Raw genomic sequence first — 13060 nt, 5'->3', positions numbered from 1 at the left:
ACTAAACCTCTTTCCTTTATAAATTACCCAGTCTTCGGTGCTTCTTTACAGCAGTGTGAGAATGAACTAATGCAGTATCATACCAATGTTAATTTCTTAGTTTTAATAAAATGCAAATTCGGTCAAACCTCTTTTTTGTTCTTCATATTACTAATTTGAGTTTCCACAGGCCCTATTAGTATTCAGTATCTTCCTCTTGAAGAATTTTCTCTCCTCACCCCTCATCCCCCATTGCCACCCCCAATTATCTAACAACCCTATGGAATATCTCCATCTCAGGAAAGGGAGACCAACCTGACAATGCCAGGTGCTAGTGCTTCTCTCGGCCACACGGTGCCACTGTTGAAGACTGGACCTGCACAGCTTGGTAACCATGCTGGCCCTTGCTGCTTCAAGTGCCAGGCTTAGGCCAAGCAAGCACCCAGATGGAAGCTCTCCCTTCTCACTCCTAGGCTCATCCACTGTCCCCCAAAGCCTGACACCATGTCATGTTGGCTGGAACCAGAGGAGCTTCTAGCATAGCCACAAGCTGTGCTCAAACTAGCTCTCCCACAAGGCCTTTGTATGCCCCAGTGTGAGCTGGAGTCTGAGGCTAGATCCTCCCTTTCCATAGTCCACACACTCATTACCTAAGAACCATATTCACACACATAGGGTTTTAGGGCCCAGACTGTCTGTTTTTTAGTTGAGGGAGACAATGAAAAAAAGGAGGAAAGGCTCCTGGCTCTGGCTCCCAAAAGGGTGAAAGTGTGGAGTGGCTGCTGCTGGTGCCCTGCCCAGGCCCCCTTCCATGGGCTGTGTACTTATTCTCCAGCTGCAGGGAACACTGCTCCTTCCTCTGGGCAATTGTCCTCAGCCAAGTTGCTCTCACCCCAGGAGTGGCTGATGGACATAGGAGCTCAAAAGCCCAGGCCCCCCTGCCTCAAGAAGAGACAACTCTCGTGGTGCAGCTCATACTCCAGAACCCACCATGGGGCCAGGCTGAGGCCAGGCTCCAGCCAAGACCATTCCTGCTCAGCCCCTTCACCTGCCTATCCTGCTTTCCTCCCTCCCTCTCTCCTGATAGCTCTTCCTCAATAAATCATACATATTAGTCCCTTCTCACGTTACTAAAAAGAACTGCCTGAGATGGGATAATTTATAAAGAAAAGAGGTTTAATTGACTCACAGTTCCACAGGGTATACAGGAACATGGCTGGGAAGCCTCAGGAAACTTACAATCACAGTGGAAGGGAAAGGGGAAGCAAGCATGGCTTACCATGGCAGAGCAGGAGAGAGAGAGAAGGGGGAAGTGCCACACACTTTCAAAAGACCAGATTTCATGAGAACTCACTCACTATCTCAACAAGAAGAAAATCTACCCCCATGATCTAATCACCTCCTACCAAGTCCCTCCCCCAACACTGGATATTACAATTCAACATGAGACTTGTGTGGGGACCCAGAGCCAAACTATATTACCATGTGACCCTGAATCTCTCTCAACCTCTGCATCTGTGGAATCCAACCCTAAGGTGGCAGCACAGTGGAGAAGCTCAGGTGGTGGAGGAGTTTTGGGGGCAGTGCTAGTGGTCAACTTTAAAGACGGATTCTTGTGTCCCATCACTCACTGGCAGCCTGGTGAGGACTCCATCACTGTTGGTAGGTAGAGAATCCATGGTCCCTAGCACACTTTAGTGTGTAGCTTTCATTATCTCCCACCCAGAGTGAGCCAGGACAGAGTCCAGGGAAGCGTGGATATGCTGGCTTGAGCAATAACTCCAGTGTTCGTGAAGTTCGGGAGAATAGCAACTAGAAGGATTGTAGGACTGGTGGCAGCTGCTGAATGCCATGGACGCCCTAAGGAGAGAAAATGACGACCTCAAAGTGATCAATCACCAATTCCAAGTGAACGCGAAAGCTGCAGGGGCTTCTAGGCAGGGTTTAAAGAGATGCTCATGCCCTAGAGCTGGAGGGAGACAGAGCTGGGGACAAGGCTCAGGACCTAATCAGAAGAGCAGCAGAATTTCAGAGAAGGTCAAACCATCAGTCCTGGTAATTATCCTACACCAAAAGTGGGGCCTTGACAGGGAAGGAGTGGGACTCAGCAACATGTGCTGGAGCCACTGGGGTAGATGCACCTGAGAACCTTGAACTCCAGGTTCTCCTGAACTATGTGGGTTCAGAGAAGTGGGCCACAACCGGGGCAGGAGATGTCCTAAGACTTGCTGGCCCTGCTCAAGATCTGCCCTCCTGGCCACCAGAGCTATAACTAGGATCAAATTAAAGTGTGTCCCAACTTAGCAAGTGTAGGCCTGCTAAGGGAAGGGAGGAACACCCACCAAAGAGCTGCACGTCCTGGCCAAGATGCATGGGAGGGACAGATTCTAATGCTGCTGGTTCATAGAGGGTGGGATGGACAACTGGATAAGCAAGAGCCTGTCACTACTGAGACTCCCCGACAACCCAGGATTTGCCACTCGGCAAGAGCCCCAAGAGCTGCTGGGAGGGCTCTTGGATGCTTGGACAAAGCAATGGGTCTCATTAAACGAAGATGCCAGAGCTGTCATGACTGGCTGGCGGAGGGGATCAGAGGCTCGGAGGAGGAGGTGTGCTGGAGTGGCCCTCCCACACCTGATCCAAGCCCACCCCTGACTGTGGTCCTTAGAAGGCTCCAGATGCACCATTTATTGAAGTGACAGGAATGAGCTGATGAGGGAGGCACCAACATGGTTGAGATCAGTGGTGGCTGTTGTTGTAGCCCAGGGCTGTTGATGGGAGGTGCTGTTGCAGAACTGGGATCCCTGGTGAAAAGTATAGATTCTTAAATACCAGAGCACTGTGGCAGTGCTTGGCTGTCAGAAGCAGGTGGACATAATCCCCTAGTGGGCAGCCAGGTCAGCATGGCACCCAGTAGGTCCAGATGTTTCCAGGGTCAGGGTAGATGACACCGATACGGTGTCACTTCCTCTATAGAATGAAGAAAGAACAGGAATGGAGGAGCAGAAGGCTGAGGCCAGCTACTCCCGTGGGAAATCAGAATCCTTTGCCCAGTTTCCAGACCCAGAACCTGAAGGAGAGGCTGGTCCCCAGGAGGAAGGAGGCTGCAACACCACAGAGATTGTTTACCGCATTGATTCCCCAGTCCTTCCCCCAAAGGAACTTACAGCCCTTTGCCCAGGTAACTGTAAAGCAACGAGGGCAAATGGAAATCCTCAGAGCTTTTGGATGTGGGAACCACGTTGACGTTGGCACCCAGGAATCCAAACAGCCTTCATGGCCTCCCTGTTAAAGTAGGGGCACATGCCCGGGCGCAGTGGCTCATGCCTGTAATCCCAGCACTTTGGGAGGCTGAGGCGGGCAGGTCACGAGGTCAGGAGTTCAAGACCAGCCTGACCAACATGGTGAAACCCCGTCTCTACTAAAAATACAAAAATATTAGCCGGGAGTGGTGGCGCACTACTCAGGAGGCTGAGGCGGGAGAGTCACTCGAACCAGGGAGGTGGAGGTTGCAGTGAGCCGAGATCACACCACTGCACTTCAACCTGGGTGACAGGGTGAGACTCCACCTCAAAAAAAATAAAAATAAAAATAAATAAAATAAAATACAAAACAAAGTAGGGGCACATGGAGAATGAATCCTAGGTGGAATCCCAGCCCCGATCATTTCAGAGTGTGTCCCCTGGGCTCTCAGGCCACTCGGGTCTTTTTATGAGTTCTCAAATGTATCATTGGAATGGGCAGATTACACAGGTGGAAGAACATTCACCTGGGCGCCTTGATCTGAGGAGTAAACTCTAGGAAACCAGCAAAGGCCAAGTGAAGTCCCTGGCTTCACTTGACCAGCCTGGCCAACATGGTGAAACTCCATCTCTACTAAAAATACAAAAATTAGCCGGGCATGGTGGCACACACTTGTAATCCCAGCTACCCGGGAAGCTGAGACATGAGAATCACTTGAACCCAGAAGGTGGAGGTTGCAGTGAGCCGAGATCACTCCAGCTTGGGGAACAGAGAGAGACTCTGGCAAAAAAAATAAATAAACAAATAAATAAACAAACAAACAAACACAGTGGAAGGAATCAAAGCAGAGCCCCCCACCCCCCACCCCCCATGACCAAGACTGATCTAGCCACTGCCACTACTGAAGATCAGATCTGCCGGCAACAGGGACCAACAGGAAGCACTCGGTGTAGCACCATCCTCTGATATTGCAACGGGATTGGATGAGCTCCCCCTTGGGATGGGACAGGTGGAACTAGCTGGGGTGCCATCTTGCATGGACCACCACTGAGGGTGGAGGAAAGGCCTGCTATCCTTCGGGATGCAGTGTATACCTTCAACCAATAGCCGTGATTTGTGCAGTGTCCCCAACAGGTAGAATACCTGGGTCAGGGAGCTGAAGGGTGGACGCAGGAGTGGCCCCTCGCCATCACTGCTTTTGGTCCACTTGGCCTGTCTGTCCCCGCCATGGGCTCCAAGGCTGTAGAGGTCCGGGCACATTAATGAATTGTTTGAGCCTGCGTTTTTCCACGTACTAAACGGAAGTTAAAACATCTTGCTGTGGGGATTAAATGAGACTGTACTTGTCAAGCTCATGCCCTGTGCCACGAAGACACATGGCAAGTAGTTTTGAAATGACAATGCTGTCATCGCCGTCATCGGCATCATTATTTTGGAATGAGGTCAGGGTCAAGACAGCCTGGCAGCAGGGGGATTTCCCAAGTTTTAGCCCATTTCTGGCACCTTCCTCACGAGAACATCAGAAAGTACTTCCGCACGTCTGCCTTGACTTCTTCATGCTGCAGGCAAACCTGTTTTTATTCTCAAGGAAGAGATGTTCTCATTCTTCTCCAGAAAGCCCCTCATGAGGCCTGAAGCACATTTTTAGGTTCCCCTACCCTGGGGACATTCTCCTCGACCCACCTCTGAGAAGCCAGGAGACCCCAAAGCGACATCCCTTTTCCCAGCCTGGGGAAGGTTTTTCTACCCTGGCCTCCATTTTATATCAGCAAAAGATTTCACTAGCACTGCCAAGAACTGATATTCAGAAATAAGTATGTAAATCCTTTGTAAATGTATGCTAATTACTTATTATTAATTATAATGTAAATAAGTAATTACCGAATAATTTTAAAGTATTTACATGGGGGTGTGTGATTTAGACACTAACTTGTTATAAGATATAAAAACTATAAATTATACAGTAATTATAGCCCAATTTACATGCTAAGGCCAAACACAATTACGTAGCAAGAAAAATATAAACAATCAGGTAATTCGGTGGTAGTTACAGTGTAATAAACAAGCTGTTTTCTTCTCCCAGTCGACAAAGTGTGTCTGTGCATTCAGCCTGGGCTCAGGGATACCAAGGGAAGGGTACACTCAGAAAGTTGAAACCATTTTTAAGAAAAAAAAATTAATCACAGGATAAGAAAAAAAAGTGCAATCAAAAGCTCTTGAGTTTTGGCTGGGCGTAGTGGCTCACACCTGTAATCCCAACACTTTGAGAGGCTAAGGTAGGAGGATCGCTTGAGCCCAGGAGTTCAAGACCAGCCTGGGCAACAAAATGAGACCCCATCTTTACAAAAATAAAATAAAATTAAAAACTACATTTAAAAAAAAAAAACACTCCTGCCTCGCCTACAGTGACCCCTCCCCTGCCCCCACCATACTCCAACTCAGGCAACAGAATCCCTCAAACTCTTCCCTTCAGGCCTTCACACTGCTGTGCCCTCAGCCTTAACCCTCCTCTTTACTTTGTTGCCTGGTTAACTCCATCCCACCCTTCAAGTCTTACCTTCAATGACTCTTCCTCCAGGAAGGCTTCCTTGACCACTCCCCACTTCTGAGATCTGGCCGGGGGGCCCTCCTGGGCTCCCACAGCCTCCTGGGCTTTCCCATCACTGCTAACCTCTGTTTTGAGACGGTCTGTTTGACAACAAAGTCCACCTCCCCAACCAGACTGGGAGCCCCAGGAGGACAGGGCCCAGGCCTGCTTTGTCCATTTCTGGGTCCCAAGTTGGAGGCACTTGGGCTTGAGAACAGGGAATCAGTGAGACCTGGATTCAAGGCTGGTTCAGACACTTTCTGCCATCCTCCCAGAGTTATCTGAGAGGCCTGGGCCTCACCCTAGGGAGGGAAGTCGTAGGTGCGTCAAGAGCCCCGGGTTCTCAGTCCTTGGCTGAAACAGGCCTTTGAAGGGGGTATTATTCTCCCCATTTTGCAGACAAAGCAACTGAGGCCCAGAGAGGCCAAGTAACTTTATGAGGTCACACAGCTGGGCTGTGAAATCAGGCCTCCTCCAGGTTCAAACCTAGAGCTCATAAGCCCTCTCCTCCTCCTACTCCAGGCTTAGGGGACCTCAACTCCCCGGGATGTCATCAAGTCTCAAAGGAGGGTGAGGGACCCAACAGACCCCGTGCAGGAAGAGCAACACTGTCAAGGCAACTTGCCCCGCCCCTGCACCTCCTGAAAAGTCGGGGGTCATAGAACTATTGCCCTGGGAGCCCCTAGGATCGCGTCTTTTTAACCTCCTACCTGAGACCTTGGGGTCAGAATCTCCTGGAGCAATGATCAAATGAAGACTCCTGAATCCCTGGACCGGCGGCCAACTCTGGAGGGGGCACCCAGAACATTCATTTGGGCCCGTCGATGCCCACTGGAGTCTCAGAGCCGCTTGCAGGAGGGGAGGGTGTGGGCTAGCGGTGTGGCCTTCAGCTAGTCCCTTCTCGCTGACCCTGCACCTCGCCTGTGAAAGGGGCCTCTATACATTGCCGGCTGATCACGTCAAAGAAATGATGCCTCCCACAGAGCAGGGTGGAGCCACAGGAGGAGCTCATCGGACCAATGCACCCTCTAGTCACCGCCACACTTTCACTGAGCACCTACTATGTGCCAGGCAGGCCCTCTTGCCTACTACCCCCTCCCCTGGCCTCCTCCCCATGGGGCAGGTGCTCTGAGGTCCAGGGTGCTAGGACGGCTGGGAGGACATCTCCCCTGCTCAATGTCCAGCCCAGCAATCAAAAGAGAAGCCCTGTATCCTCACCCCTGGGAGGCCCCGCTGAGAGCACCCAGGCTCCACTCCAGCCACCCTTCCTCCATACACACCACCCCCACCACCAGCAGTTGTCACACGATTTAGAGCCGGGGAGATGGGGGAATCCATATATAGGTTCAGGACATTTTCTCCTTCCCCTGAAGCGTTGCTGTTCATTAAGCACGGTCATTAGTGAGGATTTAAGGGAGCCGAGTGGGACTCAGGGGATGGAGGGCCCTGCTGACCAGGCTCGGGCCATTGGTTCTACAGGAGAGGAGGTCATCTCAGTCTTCCCACTGCCTCTGAACCAGTGGGCTGAGCACTCAGAAAGTCATGTGGGAGGCCTTTCTTCTCTAACAATCACGAGCATGACAAGCCTGCTACCGTTTATAGGCGATTATAGCTCAATGAGGCCAGGACAGGGCCTGCTCCAATCCTCACGGGAAGGCAGGCACAGAGAGAGACAGCAGTTTGAGAAGGGTCACGCGGCCCGAGCAGGTGGACGTGAATCCAGTCTCTCTGACTCTGGGGTCTTGCTTCTAATCACCCCATTCACGCCTCCCACAGCCCGAATGTGAAAGGACTCAGCTAGTGATGGCCAGCACAGCCTGGCGTGGTTGGGGCCAAGGCCAGTACCGGGCAGGAGGAGGCCTCAGCCCCGGCCAAAGCCACAGAAATGGAAATTGCCATCATTCCAGCGCTACGACCCCTCACGCAGCTACTTCACAGCCCAGGAAATTCCCCAGTCCCCTGGGTAATATTTGTTTTATGGCCATTGCCGGGTGCTATTCATTTTATGACACTTTTGCCTGTGATTTTTGTTGTGGGCGCATAAGCAATGTGGCCAATTCCATTTTACGTGCCCTGGCGTTTCAGATTCATCGCCAGCCAGTGTGGCGCTGAATGGTTACACGGTAAAGTGTTTGGCTAATAAAATGCATAAAGCAGAGATAGGAAAATCAATGCCTTTGTTAATAACACTTCGACATCTTTCACACAGTCTGCCAGGCAGGGCTGCCCGCCGGAGCTGGCACCAGAGGCACCTCGTGGGATGTCTGCTGCTGGGGCCGGGCGCCAGCTGGTCCTGGAGCCTGTGCCCTTTGCCCTCCTGGAGTGGGTGCTAGGCAGAGAAGCCCGGGCAGAGCCTCTCCAGAGTGCTGATTTCCTCCCTGTGCCAGAGTTGGATGCAGAGGGTTGGAGGGAGGGATCATCTTGAGCAAGCCACTGTACTACCCTGGCCCTCAGTTTCCTCATCTATGAAATGGAGATATTAATAGTCCCTCCCTCCAAGGACTTTTGTGAGCATGCAAGGAGAGAGCCCATGTAATGCACATGGCCCTGTGCGCGTGGCATGTTCAGGCTGGGTAAGCCAACACCGTTCTCTCTCCTCCCCAGGTTACCCTGGCCACTCGGGGCTTCCCCGTGATCCTCAACCCCCGGGGATGAGAAAGACCTCTTTCTGGAAGCACGCATTCCAAGGCACTGGGGCCACCTCTGCTCAGACCCCAGGGACGGCTGTGTTTCCTAGTCCATCTTGTTCTTGACCAAACCTTTACCTCGATTCCCATAATCCTTCAGCTTCCCGCCTGGCACAACCTGAGTCCACATCACTCCCTTCCTCAAAAGCCTCCGGCAGTTCCCCTCCCCTCCAGGGCAGGCATAGCCCCGTGACTTGGTCACTTCCCTCCAGCCGTACCCACTGTGCTTCTGGCTATCAACCCTGCTCCTGCCAAATACATCATTTCCTGCCTCCGATCTTCGTCCCTACAGGACTCTCCTCCTGGCACATGCTTCTCTCCACCGCCACCCCATCCCACAAGTCAAAGCTTACACAGACCATGCGTTACTGCCTCCAGGAAGTTCCCCATGATTCCTCCCGGCTCCTAGGAAGCTCTGGGACTCTCTAGCTGTCCCTCCCCTGTTCTCTGCCATTTGTGAGGCCATTTGATTCTAGCCGCAGGATTCTTGTTCTTTGATGGTTCTGTTGAATGTCCACATTTGGAGCTGAGCTTGTCTGCCCCAAGCCAGGCACCTGCAGCTTCATGCTCCACCCTTGACCAACCCATGAGGCCATGATGCCCATTTCACAGACGACATCACGGAGAGGTGACAGCCGGGCCCCGGGTGAAACAGCAAGCAAATGGCAGAGCCCAAGTCCTGGTGCAGGGGTCCCTGCCATGGGCATTTATATCACTGAATCCCCTCAGGAGCCCTGGAAGGATGAAGACCTTGGAGGACATCACATCCTTCTCAAATGCTCCCCACCCCCAGCTCTGGGCCTTGGAAGCGTGACTTCACCTCTCTGAGCCTCAATTTCCTCATCTCCAAAATGGGAGTGATTTTTTTTTTTTTTTTTTTGAGACAGAGTCTTGTTCTGTTACCCAGGCTAGAGTGCAATGGCAGGATCTCAGCTCTCTGCAACCTCTGCCTGCCGGGTTCAAGTGATTCTCCTGCCTCAGCCTCCTGAGTAACTGGGATTACAGGCACCCACCACCAGGCCCAGCTAATTTTTGTATTTTTAGTAGAGATGGGGTTTCACCATGTTGGCCAGGCTGGTCTTGAACTCCTGACCTCAAATGATCCACCCGCCTCGGCCTCCCAAAGTGCTCAGATTACAGTTGTGAGCCAATGTACCCCACCGGGAGTGATAATATTATAATAGACCTTCCTCCCTGGGATGTTGAGAGGATTGGATGAAATACCCACATAAAGCCAGAGCCCTCTCCTGGAAATGTTGGGGGGGCCCAGGACACACTGGGAGGAAAGAGAGCAGGGCCAGGCAAGGACCTTGTAGGCCAGGAAACAAAGACAGGAAGAATCAGCACTGCTTGTGCCCAATCCCAGTGCTTGCCAGAGATAATGGGAGGTCCTTCACCCCCACAGGCCTCAGTTTCTGCCTCTATAAAATGGGTACAGTATTGCTCACCTCTCCAGGCTGTGGAGCCAGAAGAGGGATTAAAGGAAATAATCTATGCAGATCTCAGGACCTGCCAGCGCTTAGTGGACTTTGAAGGTCTTGAGTGCCAGATTTAGGTGCTTTGAAGGGGGACATTCGGGGCTTGGGAGGAGCCTGGGCCCCGTGGGGGCAGCATCTCAGACCTGCGCCTTTCCTCTCTCCCCAGCACCCCAAGACCGGTCAGGGTTGGGAGTCCCCATGTCCCCAGGAGCCAGCCTGTCTCCCCCCATACCCCTTGCTGCCGCCAGCCCCAGCCCCAGTGCCCTTCCCCCCTCACCTTCCTCCCCCACCCGGGAGCACAAACCCAGAGCTTAATCCCCAACGCCTCCCAGCACACCCAGGCCTGACGCATGGCTGGGCAAATATTGGACTTTATTAATTTAATTTAATTAAACTTTATTAACCTTTATTAAAAATAAACCCTCATTAAAATTCTCATTCCCGTCTCTGCCGAAGGCAAAGGCGGGGCACGGCCTCCTCTCCAGGCTCGTTAAATGTCACCCAAAGAGACACAGTGGCCTCCAGAGCCAGAGTCCGGGACACGAAGCCAAGGCTGGAGATGAAGGGGCCGGGTGGGGTGAGGTGTGTGCATGTTCAGAGGTGTTGGCAGCCGAAATCCAAGCCCCAGAGGGCCCACAGAGTCCAGCCACCAGCAGGGGGGCAGATTTAGGCAGCCTCCGGAGTTCCAGGCCTCATGCTATGGCCAGCAGGACCACCCAGCAGACTGGGAGGAGGAAAAGGTTTGTTTCTATCACATGCATGGTTTTGCCCAGATCCTAAAAGCAGTGCTCCTATTAGAAAAATTGGAAAATAGAGAAAAGCACCAAAGAACATAAAATTCTCTATGATGCCAAATAGACTCTTGAAGCTTAGAGCTGAGGAAAGCATATTTATCATCCAATCTGAAACATTCTTTTTTTTTTTGACAGTGTCTCACTCTGTCACCCCGGCAGGAGTACAGTGGCATGATCATAGCTCACTTCAAAGTCCGCTGAGTGCTGGCCCATCCTGAAGCTACACAGATTATTTCCTTTAATCCCTTTTCTGCCTCAACCTCCCAGGCTCAAGCAATCCTCCCACCTCATAGCTGGGACCACAGATGCATGCCACTATGCCCAGCTAATTTTTTTAAATTTTTTGTAGAGATGGGGTTTCACCATGTTGCCTAGGCTGGTCTTGAACTCCTGAGCTCAAGTGAGCCCCCCACCTCAGCTTCCCAAAGTGCTGGGATCACAGGTGTGAGCCACCTTGCCCAGCCTCAATCTGAAGCATTTTAAAGAGTGAAAGTGCTACCTATAACCATGCATTCAGTCACAAACAGGCCCAGCAAGTGGGGACACCTCCTTGCTGCTCAGAGCAACACTGGTGAGCTGGGCACAGTTTCCTTCCAGTGGAAACTGAAACCCATTTCAACATACAAGGGAGTTAGTCCTACTCTTAGGAACCACTGGGGTCCCCACCACCCAAGTCCCCAGTCTAGACCTGGTGCATGGGCTGTGTTTTTTGTTTTTGTTATTTGGGCTAATTCAGAGCTGGCAGCCACCAGGCACCTACGATGTGCTGGCCCTACCCTGAGCTCTGTGTGGATTATTTCACTTCATCCCCCTAAGTCTCCTGGGGATGAGGATACTGTGACTATTTTACAGAGGAGGAAGCTGAGGCCCAGCAGGCGAGGGGCTAAGAGGAAGAGCCAGGAGAGAAACCTGAAGCCCTAGCTCTCGTCCACCTCCCAGAGCTTGTCCTTGCCAGAGCCGAGGAAAATGGGTCCATAACCTGGGGAAGGGCAGATTCCAGAGGGGCAGGCCAGCCAGCCCTGGGTAAGCTCAAGGTCTGCCACCGGGCACAGGGCTCAGATTTGCCTCAAGAGCCTCTTGGGCAGAGTCTGGGAGGAGAGGGAGGTGGCACTGGGCCAGCAGGTAGAGGTGGCAGGTGTGATTCCTTCCGATCCTGGAGGGACTGAGCCGCAGGTGCTGCTGGGCAGGCCAGCACCGGGGGCCTCCATTCTGGACGGTGGCCAGGCCACCTTTGGGGCAGCGCCTCCCTGGCAGAGCAGGCTTACGGAAAGGCGAAAAGCCCCTGGGCCACTCCAGTTCAAGTATCTCCAAAGAACGCTCGTTGACAGCTTATGTGCTGAAAACAACTACACGACACATGGCAGGGAAGGCAGCTGAGCCCGAGCTAGTGGCAGCAACAATGACTCTGAGCAGAGAGGGGCCTGGGTGCAGATGCTGGCACACCACTTAGAGGTTTGGTGACTTCAGACAACTTCACTCTGTCATTCAGCACGTGTTCCATGAGGGCCTGGCATGGGGGCGTGAAGGGCAAACATCACAGCCCGGGCTCCCAGGACCTTGCAGGCCAGCGAGGGAGACAAAACCCAGCAGTGACACCCAATAGCCAGTCATTGCGAATGGGGGAAGTGGCATGAGAGGAAAGAAGAGAAAAGCACATGAGCCCTAGTAAGGTGACATTGGAACCCATTCCTGAAGGCTGGAGGGTGCCAGAGGGACCCAGAGGAGGGCTGAGCCAGCTGCGAGGGGGGTCGCAGAGGGGTTCAGGTTTTAACCTCAGCGTCCCACATCCCAGAAAGAGCAGTAGAAAGGAGGTACGGGCTGGCGGCTGTAACGGGGGCAGGCAGTGCAGAGAGCAAGAAGGGGGAAGGTGCCGCTTAGAAGTGGGGAGCTGCTGGGCTCGGGCAGGGGTAGGCAGAAGGGATTCATGGTCAGGCACAGTGGCTCACGCCTGCAACTCCAGGACTTTAGGAGGCTGAAGCAGGCGGATCACTTGAGCCCAGGAGTCTGAGACCAGCCTGGGCAACACAGGGAGACCCCAACTCTACAAACAATTAGCTGGGTGTGGTGGTGCGTGCCTGTGGTCCCAGGCACTCAGGGGGCTGAGGTGGGAGGATTGCTTGAGCCCAGGAGGTCAAGGCTGCAGTGAGCCATGATCGTTCCACTGCACTCCAGCCTGGGTGACAGAACACGACCCTGTCTCAAAAAAAGTAAAAAGAGGCTGGGCTCGGTGGCTCATGCCTGTAATCCCAGCACTTTGGGAGGCCGTGGTGGGTGGATCGCCTGAGGTCAGGA

General features: G+C 52.7%; 2 annotated features.

Annotated features, from left to right (window-relative positions):
- Nucleotides 9865–10365: an enhancer, noted in NCBI's record as "H3K4me1 hESC enhancer chr9:128761513-128762013 (GRCh37/hg19 assembly coordinates)". NCBI's record gives its function as "activates a minimal SCP1, AML or CMV promoter by ChIP-STARR-seq in naive H9 embryonic stem cells {active_cell/tissue: H9 hESC(naive)}" and the evidence as "EXISTENCE:reporter gene assay evidence [ECO:0000049][PMID:30033119]".
- Nucleotides 10366–10866: an enhancer, noted in NCBI's record as "H3K4me1 hESC enhancer chr9:128761012-128761512 (GRCh37/hg19 assembly coordinates)". NCBI's record gives its function as "activates a minimal SCP1, AML or CMV promoter by ChIP-STARR-seq in naive H9 embryonic stem cells {active_cell/tissue: H9 hESC(naive)}" and the evidence as "EXISTENCE:reporter gene assay evidence [ECO:0000049][PMID:30033119]".

Source organism: Homo sapiens, chromosome 9, assembly GCF_000001405.40.
Source record: "Homo sapiens chromosome 9, GRCh38.p14 Primary Assembly".
NCBI classification, from domain to species: domain Eukaryota; kingdom Metazoa; phylum Chordata; class Mammalia; order Primates; family Hominidae; genus Homo; species Homo sapiens.
This window is presented reverse-complemented; position numbering and strand designations above follow the sequence as displayed.